Here is a 20,463-nt window from a genome sequence, read left to right on the forward strand (position 1 = left end):
CGTACACTATGCATAGAAACCCATGCACATACACACATGTACACCATGGATACACACAGGCACATACACACACCATGCATACACACACATATACACATGCACACCATGGATACACATACATGCACACACACACACACACACACACCATGGATACACACACACACACACCATGCATGCAAACCTATGCACATACACACATGGACACACGTGCACATACACTCATGCACACCATGCATACACACATGCATACACACATGCACACACATACATGCATATCATGCATACATATGCACACACATACATGCACACCATGCATAAACACCCATGCACACACATATGCACATACACCCATGCACACCATACACACACACACATGCACACCATGCATACACATGCATACACACACATGCATACACACATGCACACCATGAATACACACACATGCATGTACACACATGCACACCATGGATACACACAGGCACACACATGCACACCATGCATACATACATGCATGCACATACACACATGTACCAACTGAGTACCAGTTATTAAATAGGCTGTGTTCTAGGTGCTGAGAATACAGTGGAAGGGAAAAGACAAAGTCTCTGATCTCATGGGCAATATATTCTAGCAAGGAAAATTATGCAATAAACTACATACACAAGTAGATACCTGCTGCAGTGTCCAGTAGTAGTAAGTGCTACAAACAACTGCAAAGCAGGCTGAGGGGAGAAAGAGTGATGGGAAGCTGCTTAGGATAAGGGTAAGTAGAAAGGCCTCTTCCAAGAGATAGCTGTTACTCAGGTCCTGGCACAGGGTCACTGTGCCACCTAGCTCCTGAGTGAGGCTGCAGGATATACCATTTATTGCAAGTGTGATATGAATGGCACCCCTTTTGGGTGTGCCATGCAGCAGACCTGGCACTGCAGTGGCCTGGGGAAGTATGCTTGGGCAGTGAGCTCAGCAGGGCAAAGGCCTGGAGGCGGGGGCATGTTGACTTTGTCTTAGGAATAGCAAGGAGCTCAGCGGAATAAAGGCAGGGGGTCAGTTCTTGGAGAGCCATGAAGACCAGTGCATCTCAAACTGTATGCTCTTCCTATGGCATTTTCTGTAGGAATCAAGGAGCACATCACAGAGCAGGGGCCATTTGAGTGGGGTTTCCTAGGATGCATAGGAGTTTGCTCAGGAGAAGGCTATGATGCATATGTCACTTGGGGATTTCACTAAAATGCAGATTCAGTTTCTACAGGTCTGAGGTGGGACTCGTGATTCTGGATCTCGAGTGAGTTCTCAGGGGATACCAAGGCTGCTGGTATCTGGACCACACTTTGAGGAGCAAGACTGGGAGGAGGCCATGGTCTGGACTTAGGGAAAGTCACTGAGGATCTCAAGCTGGGAGTTTATTCTGCCTGGCTGAAGAGTGATTCACTTTAGAGGCCATGTGCTCATTGAATCAGTCTGTCGGGGAGCAGTTTTGATCCCTTCACTGCCCAAGCAGGCAAAGGAAAGCTGCCAGGAGAGATAAGAGAAGGTTTATTTGTGTAGCTGCTCAAACTTGGGGCTGTTTATAGTCGATGAATATCTTTCTTTAAGCAGCTGTGCGAATTACCCGAAATACATGAAAGCAATCCATGCGAGATCAAAATCCTTAATTCCAGACCTTTCCAGGTTGATACGTCTTAAAAGAGGGAGGCTTGGTAACATTGTTGAACATTAATTAGGTAACACTTGTGCTGGACTCTGAGGATGAAAAGCCTTCTGTGTTCAAGTGTTTGGGAACGTCGCTCTTAAATGCTGCAATCTGAGGCTGGGATTGAAATGAAAATTTCACATAAGCAAGTGCTTATTCCCATCAGGTGCGGTGATTGGAGATTGTGCAAACTTGAATGTGCCTAGCCGCCCCCCCTTCCCCAGCCACCCAGCCTCATGTCCTCACTGAATAGAAGCTGGCTAGCCGATGAATGGGGAATTTACTAGAGGTAATTACAGAAGGAGGGAGGGGGAGGACTCATGTGCTCCCGGGAGGGGCCTCTCTTCCTTGCCACAAAGGACTGGTTTCCTCTGATGGTGTTCTCCCCTGATGTGTGTCTTACCCAGGACTTGGTTACAGACATAATACTAGAGGCAAGGTGCTGCCTGATGACTCTGTGGCCCCTAGAGTGAGGGGGTCTGTATTCAAAAGCTAGGCTCCTTGCCTTTCTCACCTGTCAATGCCCGCTCACCCACCTGGTATTCCTTTTGAGTTCCTCCAGGGCTGGCCTAATCCACCGCCTCTCCTGAGCACGACTTCCTGGAGCCCTTGCAGCAGGTCAGAAGTTTATGTCCTCACCTTATGATATATTCTTGCTCCTCCAGATTGTGGGATATGGGCAGAGGCTCCGTGTTAACCTCTAAAAGCCTCAGCAGCCAGCCTCTAGGCAGATGCTAGCATTATGGTTGCCACGGTAGGCATGAAAAAAAATGACATCAGAAGCAGGAGGGTGAGGAACTTGCCTAAAGTTACATGGCACATGGGCAGGTGAGCCCCGCTTTTGACCTTAGACTGCCTCTTTGTAAAAATGATGTGGCTTCTTGGCTGTCCTTGATTATCGTTTTTTTAGGGTGTGGCTGCCCCCTGCTCACTCCCTCTGGGCACCCAGGAAGGTGGCTAAACCTTAGGCATTATCATTTCCTTCTTGATGCTTCATTGTGGGTGGACTTGGCCCCATGTTCTCCAAGGAAGACAAGGTTTCCTGATACATAAAGTAGAGCTTCTCTGCTGAGAGGTATGGAGATTCTGAGCATCTGACTTCACACACCCAGCCTAGGAAAATCCAGATGTGTACCCCACATTGATTAGGGTGGTGAATGCTTCATGATTTTTTATTGTCAGAACCGCAGAGTCATAGCAAGGTATTTTTAGGTACAGAGTCTTCCTGCAGCATTTAAATTATGATTTGATGTAGGAACTTCAGCTTTCCCCAGAGCCTGGATCTACTTAGATGCACAGGATCGTGCCCTTTATTTTATTTATTGATTCTTTTACTGATTTGAGAGTCACCATTTTACTGATTCTTGTGGAAGAAACTTTCCATCCACTACTGTCCCCTAATCACAAGCTAAGCCAATAATGTGCCAGGCACATTCACGTGGGATGGAGCTCACCCTGCACACGCATAAACAGTATGAATAAAAATTAACTTAAAAATCTTTTCTTTCCCTCTGTAACAATGACATTATACCAAATGGGCCTATTTAATTTCTTACATTTGTACCTTTTCAAAAGGGCCCGCTGTTTTACGATGTCAAATGTGACCTTTACAACAAAACGTGCAGACTGCGTCGTACACAGAGGACTCTTCGAAGCTAGTAATTTTCATGATGCAAATTTCAGAGCAGAATGAGCCCATTAACCAAATTAGCAATTCATAAAAGCAGAAGTTCATGGTCAGGAAATAATCGCGTCTTTCCATAAGGTATAATTTTAGCCCCTTGTAGAGTTAAAGTGTGTGTGTTTTTTTCCTTTAAAAAAAGTAAATTGGGGCTCTAATTAAATAGGTTAAGGCTGTATATGAAGGACAATGCAATTTATGTGTAGTAAAATGAATTAGGGACTTGAATGGTGCCAGAGATCCTTGATAAGGGCATAGTAACAGCACCCTGAATGTGGATGAGTGATTTTGGCCATTGTGCAAAGGAAATGCCCATGGTAGAGGGAAGGAGAATTCTCTAAGTCTGTGTTAAAGGCGCTTGGGCTCCAGATGGGTTGAAGTTGGACTGTACACCATGGAGGTAAAGTTCCACCTTAAAGTCCAGAACCACCCATGTGGCTCCCTCTGACATGAGGAGTTAGTCTGAGATACATTGCAGGAACTCAGCCGTGTCTCTGATTTTGAAGCGTGTCAGGCTGGGAGACACAAGGTTGGCAATGTTGCTGATTCACAATTTTTTCCTCCACAAATTGTGGGGGATAAAAATACTGTGCATTCTGCAATCTTATTCTGATTATGAACTGAGATCATGTCCACAAAAAGCCCAGGTATGGCTGAATAATACTCCGTTGTATGAATATACCATGTTTTGTGTATCCGTTTATCAGCTGATGGACATTTGGGTTATTTGTACTTTTTGCCAATTGTGAATAATGCCGCCATGAACGTTCATGTGCGAGTTTTTGTCTGAATACCTGTTTTTAATTATTTGGGGTATATACCTGAGAAGAATGAAACGCTCGCACATGCCATGGCATGGATGAACCTGGAAAACATGATGAAGGCTGGGGATGGTGTAATCCCAGCACTTTGGGAGGCTGAGGCGAGTGGATCACTTGAAGTCAGGCATTTGAGACCAGCCTGAGCAACATGGTGAAACCCTGTCTCTACTAAAAATACAAAAAAAAAAAAAATAAAAATGTTGAGTGTGGTGATGCATGCCCGTAATCCCAGGTACTTGAGAGGCTGAGGCAGGAGAATCACTTGAACCTAGGAAGCAGAGGTTGCAGTGAGCCAAGATCGTGACATTGCACTCCAGCCTGGGCAGCAAAAATGAAGTTCCATCTCAAAAAAACAAAAACAGAAACAAAAACAAAAAAAAAAACATGCTGAGTGAAAGAAGCTGCACACAAAAGGCCACATATTGTATGATTCCATTTATATGAAGCATCTAGAATAGGTATATACACACAATGTAGATTTGAGGTTGCCAGGGACCGAGAGGTTTAGGAGAGCTGGGATGAGGTTTCTTTTAAGAGTGATAATGTTTGGGAATTGGATGTGATGTTTGCACACAGCTATGAATATACTAAATGCTTATGAATATACTGAATGGTTCACTTTAAAGTGCTTAATTTTCTATTTATGTAAATTGTTATATGAATTTTGCTTCAATTAAAAAGAGTCTCATATATACATTGACCTGTTCCTTGATTGTGAATTTCCTTGGGAAAGATTCTGTGTGTGCTTTATTATGTATTTACATACGTATTTTTTGTTCACAGACAGGATCTTGGTCTGGCACCCAGACTGGAGTGCAGCGGTGCAATCAGAGCTGACTGTAGCCTCAATCTCCTGGCCTTAAGCAATCCTTCTGCCTCAGCTTCTTGAGTAGCTAGAACTACAGGCATGTGCCACCACATCTGGCTAATTTTTTTAAAAAAATTTCATAGACAAAGGGTCTTGCTATGTTGTTATGCTGGAATGCAATGGCGTGCATCATAGCTCACTGCAGCCTCAAACTCCTGGGCTCAAGTGATTTTCCTGCCCCAGGCTCCTGAGTGAGTAGGACTATAGGCAAGTACTACCGCACCTGGCTAATTTGTTTGTCCTCTGTTTTTTTTTTAATTTTTTTTTTCTATTTTTGAGACGGAGTCTCGCTGTGTTGCCCAGGTTGGAGTACGGTGGCACAATCTTGGCTCACTGCAAACTCTGCCTCCCGGGTTTACACTATTCTGCTGCCTCAGCCTCCCAAGTCGCTGGGATTACAGGCACGTGCTATTTTTTTTTTTTTTTTGTATTTTTAGTGGAGACAGGGTTTCACCGTGTTAGCCAGGATGGTCTCAATCTCTTGACCTTGTGATCCGCCTTCCTCGGCCTCCCAAAGTGCTGGGATTATAGGTGTCAACCACTGTGTTGTGGAGATAGGGTCTCACTATGTTGCTCAGGCTGATCTCAACCTCCTTGACTAAAGCAGTCCTCCTACCTCGGCCTCCTAAAGTGCTGGGATTAGAGCCATGAGCCACTGTGCACAACCTCTGGTTCCCAGCACAGTGCTTGTCATCTTGTGGGCTATCAGTGAAAAATACTGACTGTGACAATAGTGTGCATTGTGTATGTAGGATGTGCAGGAGGAGAATGCAGAGGAGACACCTGCTATGTCAGAGGGTCGCAGTGTGCAGCATGTGTCAGGGAGGGCATGGCAGGGGTCTGGGCAGGTAAGGGAAGACCCTCTTATTTTTTATTTTTTTGAGATGGAGTCTCGCTTTGTCACCCAGGCTGGAGTGCTTTGGCGTGATCTCTGCTCACTGCAACCTCTGTCTTCCAGGTTCACACCATTCTCCTGCCTTAGCCTCCCAAGTAGCTGGGACTACAGGCGCCCATCACCACGCTTGGCTAATTTTTATATTTTTAGTAGAGACAGGGTTTCACTGTGTTAGCCAGGATGGTCTCAATCTCTTGACCTCATGATCTGCCTGCCTCAGCCTCCCAAACTGCTGATATTACAGGCGTGAGCCACCACGCCCAGCCAGGAAGACCCTCTTGATGGTGGGAGGGAAATACCGAGAAAGGGGAGCGCAGCCGGCGGCTGCGATGGAGGCTTCTAGGGAAGGATGCAGATGCCATTCCTGTGTGAAATACACTATAGGACCCTGTTCTTTCCTTCTAAGAAACACTTGATTGTTAAATGCCTGTGGACTCAGAATGTGTGTGTGTGTTTTAATGCATCAGTGGACAAAATCCTGCCTCAAGGTGGACCAGTGATATGTGGGTGGCATGTGCACCGTTTCACTGAATATGAACCCCAGGTTTATGAAGCAAAACAGTGAGGCAACAGGAGGTGAGGTCATTCACCCAGGGCCATGGAGCTTGGAAGGGGCACAGCTGGGATTTAGTTCTACATCTGCTTAATGGTGGACATTCTACTGCCTCAGAGGAAATTGTATTTTAGAAAAATTAGGTCCCTTTTCTTCTTAAATGTGCCTGCAATTTATTGCCACTGTGAAATAGGATCCTTTGGTTTCATGTTTCATGTTTTTGGCAACATGTAAACACTGCTGTCCACTTCACGGGGTTATTGTGAAGTCAGTCGAGGCAAGTTATCTGAAGCTCAGGGCACACAGTAGGCACTGAGCAAATGTTAGTCTCTGTCCCGTGGAAACCCCACCTCTTCTCCTTTCCCTTTCCCCATTTCTCCAGTGTGGGAAAGGAGAAAAAGAACAAGAAAAGAGTAGACCTCAGTAAGTCAGTACCTTCTCTGATTATTAGGGTAAGAAGAACTAATCCGTAGCTTAACAATAAGAACCTGCAACGCCAGGTTCAAGGCTGCATTCTTCCCCTAATCAGCTGCCAGGCTTGGTACAAGTTTCCCGGAACAGATTCTGTGTGTGCTTTATTTTAAAAATCTCTGCTTCCCAACACAGGAAGATTGGCACCTTGTAGGCTGTTTTGTTTTTGTTTTTGTTTTTGTTTTTTGAGATGGAGTTTCATTCTGTCACTCAGCCTGAAGTGCAGTGGCATGATCTCAGCTCACTGCAACATCCACCTCCTGGGTTCAAGATATTCTCCTGCCTCAGCCTCCTGAGTAGCTTGGAGTATAGGCATGCAGCACTGTCCCTGATTAATTTTTGTATTTTTGGTAGAGACAGGGTTTCACTGTATTGGCCAGGCTGTTCTCAAACTCCTTACTTCAAGTGATCAGCCTGCCTCTACCTCCCAGAGTGCTGGGATCACAGGCATGAGCCACTGCACCTGGCCACCTTGTAGGCTTTTGATGAATAACACTAACCACGACAATACATACGATATGCAGGAGGAGAATTCAGGGAAAACCTGCTGTGTCAGAGGTTCTCAAGTTCTCGGAGCCTCAGTTTTCACATCTGGGCAATGGGTGTCACAACCTCACTTTCTTAGGTAGTGCAACTAAAAAACCAGAGTAAGAGAATGCATGCGAGTGTGATCAGAAGGTGCTGAAGGACTGCGCAGGTGTGGTGCACTCTGCCAGAAGAGGGGACACTGGGCTGACATAGGTTTCATCTAGACCAGGGCTTTTCAACCAAGGGTGATGTTCCCTAGGGGAATTTGGCAATGTCCAGTGACATTTTGCTTAGTACAACTTGCGGGGAGGTGGTACTGGCATCTAGTGGGCGGAGACCAGGGATGCTGCTCTGTGCCCTATGATGCACAGGACATCTCCCACCACCAAGAATGATCTTACCCAACACGTCAAGAGTTGACGCTGAGAAACTCTGATCTAGAAGGAGAAAAGAAAAAAATGCATTTAGACGTGGGCAGGACTGGAAGTTATTGAGGATATGGAGTTAGTTTTCCTTGTGTCTACCTCCTCTTTTTATTTGCATATTTTAAAAATCACATTTTAGGCCAGGCACACTGGCTCATGCCTGTAATCCCAGCACTTCGGGAGGCCAAAGCAGGCGGATCACTTGAGGTCAGGAGTTTGAGTCCAGGCTGGCCAACATGGTGAAACCCCATGTCTACTAAAAATACAAAAATTAGCCGGGTGTGATGGTTCTCACCTGTAGTCCCAGCTACTTGGGAGGCTGAAGCTTGAGAATCACTTGAACCTAGGAGGTGGAGGTTGCAGTAAGTAGAGATTGTGCCACTGCACTCCAGCCTGAGAGACAGAATGAGACTCTGTATCAAAAAAAAATATATATCAGATGTTTAAAGATACATAAAAGCGATTATATATATATACACACATATATACATACATATACATATATATACACATATATATGTACATATGTATATATGTACTTTGTGTTTTGAGATGGAGTCTTTCTCTGTCACCCAGGTTGGAGTGCACAATTTTGGCTCACTGCAACCTCCGCCTCCTGGGTTCAAGCGATTCTCTTGTCTCACCCTCCCAAGTAGCTGGGAACTACAGGCATGCGCCACTATGCCTGGCTAATTTTTATATTTTTAGTACAGACGGGGTTTCGCCATGTTGGCCAGGTTGGTCTTGAACTCCTGACCTCAGGTGATCCACCTGCCTCGGTCTCCCAAAGTGCTGGGATTACAGGCATGAGCCACCATGCCGGGTCAGAAATAATATTTTTAAAATGTGTTTCTACCACCCCACATTGGCAGTTGTTATTGGTCTCTCCTAATATTTTTAATAAAACTAAAAACAGAAATCATAGCTAAGCTCATCCCATCGTCTCCCTCTCTCATTTCCCTTTCTTCCCTGAGAGATGCAGCCTCTGTCATGAATTTATTTTTATCTTCTTTGTCTGTTTTTTGGTACTTTACAATTAGCAATATCCACGCACAAAGTACTGCATGAATTTACATTTCTCTTTTCAACAAACACAAATTGAAGGCCATCATGTACAACTCGCTGTTTTCACTCAACAACTGCTTGTGTTGACAACATGTACATGGGGTGGATTTGATCCAGGTGTTTTCAGGCTGGTGGATTGCCCTTGAGCTGAGCTTGTTAGTCCTTCACACTGTGCAGATTATAGAGGGATGTGAAGCACTTCATCAGAGGAGGTAGCACTCGAGTTCGCAAGAATCGCCTCCCGGTGGAACACGCGGGGAGGTCGGCCCACAGGAAGAGGCAGAGTCGATGTTTTGCAAACACCACATTGCTCTCTACATGAAGCATTGGCCGTCTGGGCTGCTTAAGCAAACACAAGTTTTGAAGGCACGTTGGGGTCTTCATGGATGAGCTTTCCTCTCAATAACCTCTGTGGTTTCGACAGGGACTCAACAGCCTCCAGCCCCCACCCCCAACTCCTGGTGAAATAGTCGTAAGACGAGGCTCTCAATCTTACCTGAGCAAACAGAGGCAGCTGCTTGGGCCAGAGAGGCTGACTCTGATGGCCTCGGGAGATGTGAAGTGCCCCTTTCTGGGCTCTCAGCCACACTCCTCGTCCTCTTCAGAGGCAGCCACGGCGGTGGTGGTGGTGGTGGTGGTGGTGTGGAGGGAGGGAGGGAGCCCCGTCGAGGGCCTCCTCCATCATCCTGGCATCCTGCAAGTGGTGCGGGAGAGGCAACCTGGATGCCCAGTCTGCATTTTTAGAGACAGAAATGGAAAATAAAGCAGTGGCTTCCTGCTATTAAACGGGAGTGTGATTAGTTATAGGAAAATCAATTCATTCTTTGGCTTTGGGGAAGGCTTTTAAGTGTGAAAGGGGATGCTAATCCCCTGGGAAATGATTTTTAAGCAAAACTGCCTTAGTTCTGCCAGCTGCTTAGATAAACACCAGAGGGGAGGGAATGGCAGCTTTTCTCTTCATTTAACAGGGGTTACCAGGAGCCTACCTTCCTCTCTCTGTCTCTCTCTGTCTTCCCTTGCCTCTCTCCCTCCTTCTCCCTGTCTTCTCCCACATTTATTGAATGCTCAGTTTGGGTCTTGTTAACAGACGGACACAGTCTTTGTCCTTATGGAGGACGGGGCAGCAGGCGACGGGTCATGAAGACAGGAACGAAGCCAGTGAATGAGACACAGGGAACACCTTCCTGTCTCCTCACTCTCTCCTTGATCACTTTTCACTCCTTCTTTCCCTCTGCCTCATTTCTCTCTTTTCTTTCCTCCCCTGTCCTTCCTTGCTGTCCCTTCTCCCTCTCCCTTTCTCTTCCCTTCCTCTGGGAGAACACTACCTCCTTCTTTTTTTTTTTTTTTTTTTTTTTTTTTTTTGAGACAGGGTCTCACTCTGTCACCCAGGCTGGAGTGCAGTGGCGTGATCTCAGGTCACTGCAACCTCTGCCTCCTGGGTTCAAGCGATTCTCCTGCTTCAGCCTCCTGAGTAGCTGGAATTACAGGCACCTGCCACCATACCCAGCTAATTTTTGTCTTTTTAGTAGAGACAGGGTTTCACTATGTTGACCAGGCTGGTCTGGAACTCCTGGCCTCACGTGACCCACCTGCCTTGGCCTCCCAGAGTGCTGGGATCACAGGAGTGAACCACCATGCCCAGCCGGAATCCTAGCTTCTTGCACAGCCATTCCTGGAGCAACCTGCAGAATGTTGGTTGGAGGACACAGGCGAGTGTCTCTGCTGCCACCCCAGGTAGACACACACAGAATCCTGCCCCAGGCCACCTTGCAGAACGGAGGGACCAAAGCACAGGTTGCCTTTGGGACCTGGATCAGGTTTCACCCTCCCAGGGTTGTCAGGAGTCAGCATTTTTTCGGGGGAAATGAGCACCCCGTCCTGTCCTGTGTGTGACCTTGTCAGTCACCACCTTTCCCCAACCCTCCATCAGCTGTGTGAATTCCCAGTGCCCATCTGTGAGTGAGCCGTTTCAGTCTAACTGATTCCGCATGGATACCCATCCCTGCCTGCTTTTTATACTTCCCTGTTAGATTTGCATGAGGAGTTCTGGTTACATAATTTCTTCTGAACAATATTGTTGTCCAATCATAAGCATCCATTTGCATATCGGTAACAAAGTAAACTAATAATAATAATGCTTTTAGGCCGGGCACAGTGGCTCATGCCTGTAATCCCAGCATTCGGAAGGCCAAGGCAGGAGGATCGCTTGAGGTCAGGAGTTCAAGACCAGCCTGGCCAACATGGAGAAACCCCATTTCTACTAAAGAAAGAAAAAAATAGCCGGGCTTGGTGACACATGCCTATAGTCCCAGCTACTTGGGAGGCTGAGGCACAGGAATCTCTTGAACCTTGGAGGAAGAGGTTCTAGTGAGCCAAGATAACACCACTGCATTCCAGCCTGGACAACATAGTGAGACTCCATCTAAAAAAAATTATACTTTTAATGATGATGATGATGAAGAAGATATTGACAGAGTTAACATATCCTGAGAGATTACTAGTCTTTAGATACCACTTAGCACTTTATATATTTGATTTTATTTACTTTTTAAAACTACCTTATAGGGTAGCTGCTATCATCAAACCATGTTACAGATGGGAAAGCTGAAGCTCACTAAGGTTAACTAATATGCCCAGAGAATCAGATCTTGGAAGTGAATGCAGATCGGTCTGACCCCAAAGCCTGTGCTTTTAACCACTGGCTTTCCTACCTTGATGGCATAGTTGGAAGGGAAGCCTGTATCACATGTTACAGGAGCCTAAACATAAATTATTATCTTTAATCAGAGTCTTTGTGCAACAGGAGGGATGACAGGATTATACTAGGGTCACCTTTTTGTGCTTCGCCAAGGCCATACCATCCAGACCTCCACTCCAGAAGTCTTTGCACGTCCTCCTCTCAGCCCCCACCCACTCACCCACCCGGCTTCACATTCAGAAGCTTAGCTGGGAAAATGGGTGCAGGAACCCAGCTACATAAAGGGTATAAATGTGCCTTTCAGAGAGGCACAGTGGGAAGAACAAAGGATTTGAAACCAGACAGACTTGAATTCAGATTCTGGTTAGTGACCCTGGGTGGATTACAGATCTCCTTTTCCCAGCTCAGCCACCTTATCTTTGTAAGCTTTCCAGGTCACCAGCTAACTGCCAGGACTCAGGGGTCACTGTAGGTAGCATGATGTGTATAGTACATATGTGGTTGGCATCTTACCCTTCCTTTCTCATATCAGGGGTGACTGGGTCTCTGCTGCACCCTGTGCACACTCAACCTGCTGAGCTGCTGTGCAGAAGGTGGGGTGCTGAGCCGTGTGCTGGGCTTCTGTGCGGAAAGTGGGGTGCTGAGCTGTGTGCTGGGCCTGTGTGAGCAAGGTGGGGTGCTGAGTTGTGTGCTGGGCCTTTGTGTGGAAGGTGGGGTGCTGAGCCGTGTGCTGGCCTTCTGTGCGGAAGGTGGGGTGCGGAACCGTGTGCTGCACTTTTGTGCGGAAGGTGGGGTGCTTAGCCATGTGCTGGGTTTCTGTGAGGAAGGTGGGGTGTGGAGCCATGTGCTGGGCCTATATGCGGAAGGTGGGGTGCTGAGCCGTGTGCTGGGCTTCAGTGCAGAAGGTGGGGTGCTGAGTTGTGTGCTGGGCCTTTGTGCGGAAGGTGGGGTGTGGAGCCATGTGCTGGGCCTATATGCGGAAGGTGGGGTGCTGAGCCGTGTGCTGGGTTTCTTTGAGGCAGGTGGGGTGTGGAGCCGTGTGCTCCACCTTTGTACGGAAGGTGGGGTGCTGAGCCGTGTGCTGCGTCTTTGAGGAAGTTGGGGTGCGGAGCCGTGTGCTGCGCCTTTGTGCAGAAGGTGGGGTGCTGAGCCGTATGCGGGCCTGGGGTGATTGCCTCTCCCTGACCTCCTTTGCCTCTCCCTCCGCTAACAGACCAGAAGCCTGTTCTGCCGCATGTGCAGCTGCCGCTCTCTTTGAAATGCTCGGCTTTTGGGGCAGGTGCTGGCTCTGAGAGATACTGTTCATTTTCCAAAAGTGCTTAGAGCCGCTCATTTCCACAGGCCAGGGGTGGGGTGGCTCAAGCCCAGCCGGTTTACCTGCAGCCACTGAGTCCAGGCCATATGTGCCCTCTTAGAATGGATGCTGGGTCAGGGGTCCGTGGCAAACTCAGCCAAGACCAGTGGGCAGGAGGGCTGCTCTCGGCCCCTGAAAGATGAGAGGATAAAGTCAGTGTCTGCTCGTCTATTCTCCTTCTCACTTTGTGGATGTTCTCAGATCCCATCTGGTCGGCCACTCACGCAGCAGGGTGGGCAGGCGGGGCCCAGCTGGTGCGAGCTTTTGGTTGATAAGCCTGATGTCAAGAGTTCCATCCCTGCCTGTAGTGAAAAGTGCATAGACTTTGCAGTGAGGACACGTCTGGGTCAAATACTAGCTCGAGCATGCACCTGCTGTGTCAGTCTGGACGAGTCGTTTTCTGAGCCTCAGACCTCTTATCTGTGAAATGGACTTGAAATTAATGCTTTGAGTCTGTTTGACATGTTGTATATAAAGTGCATCAAGCTGTTCTTTGGCCTGTAATATGCTGGAGCCAATCCATATTGGCTTCTGGGAGCCAAGTGTTGAATTCTCAGGAATCCTGCAAGCCAGATGTTAAGCCATTAAGCTGGAAATGGGCCATGCTGTAGTGGGAGTATTTATACCATGGAAATTAGCAAACATTTCAAATCAGGACTCCCCCCAACCTAAAGTCCATACCATTTCTTGTGGAGGTTGGGAAGGAACGTTCTCACCTGTCCTTCTTCCTTCTTTGTGGTGTTTTCTTCTCTCATTCAGAATCGTCCTCCAAGACTCCAAGCACAGGACTTTCTGGTTCAAGCCTGTCCTGTGCTGGATGTGAAAACACCCTGTTCGTTTCTCATCCAGCCCCACTGAGCCTCCCAAAGCCTCAAGCCCTTTCGCATCTCATTCACAACCTGGCATGACAGTCCGAGACTGACCAAGTCTGGGTCCTGTGGATCCTACTGCCTGGTGTGATGTGCTCCTCCTCCTGCAGCCTTTGCCATGTTCTCCTTTCCCTTCCTCCTTCCTCCTTCTTCCTTCTTTCCTCTCTCTCTCTCTCTGTCCCTCGCTCTCTCCCCACTCTCTCCTTCCCTCGTGGCTTCCATTGTATTCCCCCCTTTATTTGTAAGCAAGCAGGGGAATGAAAGGGATGAAATGCTCTCTTCTCATCTCTGTACCATTTCAGCATCCAGGACAGCTCCCCCCCAGCAAGTAGAGGCTCTCCTGCTTTGGATTATACGTTGCATTGCCTTGCACACTGGGTCCAGCCTACGCTTCCTACCCAGGAGTCCTAGTGAGGACGCACACACTAGGGCGCATCTGTCTCCACACTTAGGAGACAAATCTAAGAGCAGGGCTGACAGATGGTGCCATCTTCAAATGGAACATATTTTATTATTTGTTTGCTATCTGGAATTTAGCCCCGACGAGGGTGGCATTTGCACACCATCATATGCAGAATCTACTGTGGAAATCAGGCTTGTGATAATATGTGAGGAGAAGGACTGTGGGCAGGAAACATGTTCTATGATTTTTTTTGAGTGTGGACTTGATAGTTTTCACCCATTTCATGCGGGTAAGATATGTGGGAAGAGTCAAGACTCCTGTTGCCTGAGAATGGAAAGACATCAAGCATCACAGACTTTCTCCTGCTCCTTGGAGGTGGAGGTCAATTGAGGCTTTTCATGAGCATATCTGGCAGGAAATGACATCTGTAGCAACAGCTGGCTGGAAGAACACTGAAGATGGGGTGTGGCTAGGTTCAGCGATGAATGGTGCTTTAAATTCCTTCCCAGAATTTTTCAAAGTGGGTTCTGCTACAACTGCAAAGGGAATGATTGGGTGAGGAGCTGTAATGGTTGTCCTTGATACAGCAGAGTGCCCTGTGTGTCTTTGTTCAAGCTTTGCAGGCAGATGAAATGGGAGTGCATTTGTACCTCTTTCTCATCTCACAGGTACAGTGTAACCCTTGAGAAGGTCGAAGTGGAAATGGAATTTAATAGCTTGTTGGAAAGCGAAAATAGCCCTACACTTTGACTTTGCCAGCAGTATGAATTAGGAGGAGGTGCTGTTGAAGCCTCCATTTGACTCTCTGTTTGTCTTTGGAAGTACTTTGCACACTGACAATGATTTGTTTTAAAGCATGTGCAATTGTAGATTAGGTAGATCTCCTGCATGTCTCTAGATTGTGAGCTCTGAGGAAGAAGGATGGTCACTGTGTCTGTCTTGTTCACCACAATGTCAGCCACTTTCACAGTGTTGGACTTGTAGTACGTGCTCGTTAAAAGCTTGTGGAAAGATTGACTGGGATTACTTTTCTGGAGTAATGAATAATATTAATTATTACCAATAGTAGCAAAATATTAGTAACTTGAATGATTTGGGGCTTAGGGAAAGCTGGATTCCAAACCTTGTTTCTCTTCTTAGGTGCATGTGTGTAGGCAAATCATTTGGACTTCCTATAGTTTTGAGTTTCTTATTTTATAAAGTGTGAACAGTAATAGCTTTCACAGAGGGTTGTCTTTCAGGATGAAAAAAGTAATGTCTCTCAGCACTCAGTGCAGAGGCGAGCATATCATTAAAATCGTTATTTTTGTTGTTAATATAATTATCTTTATTAGTATGTCTTGCAACTCTCTCACATTCATTTAAGAGTGCTGGTTGGAATAAGTTGGCATTTTCAAAATTTAAGCCACTTTACTAAGGTGTGATTAATATACAAAAATCTGTACATAGTTAACATATACAACTTGTTAAGTTTGGTGATAAGAATACATCTGTGAAACCATCACCACATCTTACACCATAAACCTGTCCATCACCTCTAAAAGTTTCTTCCTGATTGCTTATTTATAATTGTTAATATTTTTAGTTTCATGTAAATTAAGAACACTTAACATAAGATCTGTAGCTCTTATAGCCATACCCAAGGATTCTTAGAAATAGTCTTCTCTTCATCCATACCCCTGCAAAGGACATGAACTCATTCTTTTTTATGGCTGCATAGTATTCCATGGTGTATATATGCCACATTTTCTTTATCCAGTCTATCATTGATGGGCGTTTGGGTTGGAATAAACACAGGAACAGAAAACCAAATACCGCATGTTCTCACTCATAAGTAGGAGTTGAACAATGAGAAAATATGGACACAGGGAGGGGAACATCACACACTGGGACCTGTCAGGGGGTGGGGAGCAAGGGGAGGGAGAACGTTAGGACAAATATTTAATGCGTGCGGGGCTTAAAACCTAGATGATGGGTTGATGGGTGCAGCAGACCAACATGGCACATGTATACCTGTGTAACAGACCTACATGTTCTGCACATGTATCCCAGAACTTAAAGTAAAATTTAGAAAAAAAAGAAACAGTCTTCTCTGAATATATGTGGTATACATCTCTTGATTGGGGACCTATTTATTAGTTTTTCTCTGGGAATGATCTGGTTGATTGGAGAACTCTGGTTTCACTGACTTCAAAGCAAGCCATATATGGTCTTAGAACCATGATTTCCTGACAAATTCACATTAACAGCCCTAATAATAGTTAATGTATAAACAATTTATTGTATCACAAACCCTTTGTGGTCTTTCTCACACTTAATCCACATTATAAGACAGTATGGTTGATCCTGCTGTTGCTGTTTACAGAGGATGAAATTGGGACTGGAGTGAATAAAGTACTCACAATCACAGGACCAGTGAATGGGGTGGAATAAGAATGCAAGGCCTGACAGCCCGACTCTAGGGTTTAAAGTATTGAGCAGCACAGTGTGGCTCAGCTGTCATATAGAGGCACTCACTTTTCACTTGCTGGACTTGGAGGGTTTGGTTTGAGGTCTGTAAATTCTTTCTCGCTCGCTTTCTTTCTTTCTCTCTTTCTTTCTTTCTTTCTTTCTTTCTTTCTTTTCTTTTCTTTCTTTCTTTTCTTTTCTTTCTTTCTTTCTTTCTCCTTCTGTCTTTCTCTCTTTCTTTTGTTTCTTTTCTTTTCTTTTTTTTTTTTTGAGACAGAATCTCACTCTGTCACCCAGGTTGGAGTACAGTAGCACGATCTTGGCTCACTGTAACCTTCACCTCCCAGTTCAAGCTCTTCTGTTGCTTCAGACCCCCAGGTAGCTGGGATTACAGGCATCCACAACAACGCCAGGCTAATTTTTGTATTTTTAGTAGAGACGAGGTTTCGCCACCTTGGCCAGGCTGGTCTTGAACTCCTGATTTCAGGTGATCCACCCACCTCGGCCTCCCAAAATGATGATATTACAGGCGTGAGCCACTGCGCCCAGCTAAGGTCTGCAAATTCTTGATACCATTTCGTGATCCAGACTCCAGGGCAGGGTTGGAGAGAATGCCTGCTCTGTGGCTACAAGTCAGTTGTTGAGCAAAGCAATGCCAGGATTGATCCAGCAAGTGGAGTGAGCAGAGGAAATGAAGAAAGGCTCGCAGACCTGGGCATGATTTCTTCTCTTTTGTTACTGGAGACCTCAGGCAAACAACCTGCTGGGAAGCTGAGACCCCAAGACTGGAGACATCAGGATTGGAAAGATATCCTGAGCCAAGGGGAGCAAACTCCTCGTTGCAGTCCAAGTTTGTAGCTGAAACAAGCTGAGGGGACCCAGGCTGTCCTTCCTGAGCCTGAGCCTTGAGTGGCCACGTTCCAGGGTGATCATCTAACTTTGATCATCAGATTGGGACACTTAATTCACTTGATGAGACTTGGGATGGTGCTTCTTGACCCTGGAAAATGGCAGTGATTTTCCAATTTAACTCACTCTGTATGGGTCATTCGTTCTCTGGGTATTACCTGGAATACCCAGAGGGCACAGAGCTTAGCTCCCACTTATAAGTGAGAAGATACTATGTTTGGTTTTCCATTCTTGAGTTACTTCCCTTAGAATAATAGTCTCCAATTTCATCCAGGTTGCTGTGAATGCCATTAATTCATGCCTTTTCATGGCTGAGTAGTATTCCATCATACATACATACATATATATAAATGTGTATATATATATATATGTGTATGTATATATGTATATATGTATATATATAATATATGTGTATATATGTATATATAATATATGTATATATGTATATATATAATATATGTATATATATGTGTGTGTATATGTATAAATATATATATATATCTCACATAGTTTCTTTATCCACTCGTTAATTGATGGACACTTGCATTGCTTTTACGTATTTGCAATTGCAAATTGCGATGCTATAAACATGCATGAGCAATTATCTTTTTTGCATAACCTTGGTAGATACCCAGTGGTGGGATTGCTGGATCAAATGGTAGATCTGCTTTTAGTTCTTTAAGGAATCTCCACACTGTTTTCCATAGTGGTTGTACTAGTTTACATTCCCACCATCAGTGCAGAAGTGTTCCCTGTTCACCGCATCCATGCCAACATCTACTGTTTTTTGATTTTTTTGATTATGGCCATTCTTGCAGGCATAAGGTGGTATTCTTTTATGGTTTTGATTTGCATTTCCCTGATGATTACTGATGTTGGACATTTTTCTTATGTTTGTTGGCCATTGGTATATCTTTTTTTTTTTTTTTTTTGAGATGGAGTCTCACTCTGTCGCCCAGGCTGGAGTGCAGTGGCGCCATCCCCGCTCACTGCAACCTCTGCCTCCCGGGTTCACGTCATTCTCCTGCCTCGGCCTCCTGAGTAGCTGGGACTACAGGTGCCCGCCACCATGCCCAGCTAATTTTTTGTATTGTTAGTAGAGACGGGGTTTTACCATGTTAGCCAGGATGGCCTCAGTCTCCTGACCTTGTGATCCGTCCGCCTCGGCCTCCCAAAGTGCTGGGATTACAGGTATGAGCCACACCGTGCCTGGCCGGTATATCTTTTTTTGAAAATTTTCCAGACATTTTAAACCTGGGGTTAGTGGATAGGATTCAGGGAGTCTGAAAATGTGGCTGTGAAAAAAGTGACATGATTATTTACATGAACTCTAACTGATAAGTTAAAGAGTTTCGTCCAGTTACCAAGGTAGAGAACAAACCACAGGTGGTTTTTAGCAGAATCTGTGGCTTTGTCATCAGTCAAATCATTGGTATTTTCACATCACATTGCAGTTGTTGCAGGTATCCCCAAATACTAGTTATCCTCATCCCTACCTTGAAATTATGGTGGTTATTAGGTGTGCTGCTGGATCTTGTTATTTAATGCATTAATACAGAAGCATCAATTGATAAATCACAGGTTGCAGTATTATCGATATATTTTATAGTTCTTTTTATTCTATTTTTATGAATTTAAAAACATCCTGAGAGGGGACCCATAGGCTTTGTTAGACCAACGGGGTTCAAGGCGCATAAAACAGTTAAAAATCTCTCATTTAGATACAAATGCCTTGTCTGCATTTGGCGAGAATGGGACTCAGGTTGACTGGGGGACCTGGAGTGTGGAGGTCAGGGAAATGATGTTTAGAGTCAAGGTTGTTTCGTTGAGTGTCTGGTATTAAATGGTATTCTCAAGCGCCCCAGTGAGAGAGGGGAATTTGGTGCAAACCCTAGATCCCTGTTGAGTCTTTGTGACCAGCAGGTCCTCCTCATTGCACTCTCCTCTCCCTCGCGTTTTCGGCTTAGCTGGTAGAGTCCGGTGACTATGAAGGGGTCTTTGGCTCATCATTTTATAACTGGGACTCAAGGAGAGATACTGTCCTCTAGATGCTTGTCTCAGACCTGTGATTTCGTTATCAATGCAATGTGAGTCATGAATGCCATACGTTGTGTGTGATGCGTTCTTTTAGGTTTATTAAATCACCCAGGTGCTATTCTGATTGGGTGTTCTCATCATCTCTTGGGAAGATAGGGAATTTATGGTTGCCGTTTGCTCTGTTTAGATAATTTTCACATTTCTTTCTCTGCACAGTTCATTATTTTTTTTTATATTTTCCATAGAGATAAAGTGCTTAAAATATCCAGTTGAGAGCTAAGCTGATAAAGCTAACAGATCCATAAATTGGGCCATGAATGACGCTTTAAGATGCCTGCTATGCCGGAGAGGTGAGCTGAAGCAGGCGGAGTGGTGAATGAGGGCGAAGAGTAGACAGGAAGAGATTCCTGTCATGGAGCATAAAGGATTCTGAGCTGGCTTTCCTATGGCCGTAGCTGCTGCGTGTGCAAATTGAGGATGAATTGCCTCCAACCCAGGAGGAAGGAGTGCTGATGTTAGAGGTCCCAGAATGGCTTGATATAGGGTTGAGGAGGTAGCGCCATGTTAAATGAGTCCTAAGCTTTGCTGTGCTGGGGCTGGGAGTGCTAATTCAATGGCATACTCATTCTGCACCTGCTCACTTCAGCCTGGCCGTCTTCCTCCTGAGATTGGGAAAAGAAAGGAAACTTAAAAGGCCTCCTGTCTTTCCTCACTATATATCTCTTTGTGACACAAAGTTGAATCTACT

General features: G+C 45.6%; 1 protein-coding gene across 4 annotated transcripts in view, besides 1 other annotated feature; it reads left to right on the top strand.

Moving 5' to 3' along the window:
- The window catches only part of RBFOX1 (RNA binding fox-1 homolog 1), a 2,473,620-nt gene that overhangs the window by 400,991 nt on the left and 2,052,166 nt on the right, over window positions 1–20,463 (top strand). The window lies entirely within an intron of this gene.
- Window positions 1,443–2,642: an enhancer, noted in NCBI's record as "BRD4-independent group 4 enhancer chr16:5692155-5693354 (GRCh37/hg19 assembly coordinates)". NCBI's record gives its function as "activates an origin of replication core promoter dependent on BRD2, P300/CBP, MED14 and CDK7 cofactors, and independent of BRD4, by STARR-seq in HCT116 cells {active_cell/tissue: HCT116}" and the evidence as "EXISTENCE:reporter gene assay evidence [ECO:0000049][PMID:35650434]".

This window comes from Homo sapiens, chromosome 16 (genome assembly GCF_000001405.40).
Source record: "Homo sapiens chromosome 16, GRCh38.p14 Primary Assembly".
Classification (NCBI taxonomy): domain Eukaryota; kingdom Metazoa; phylum Chordata; class Mammalia; order Primates; family Hominidae; genus Homo; species Homo sapiens.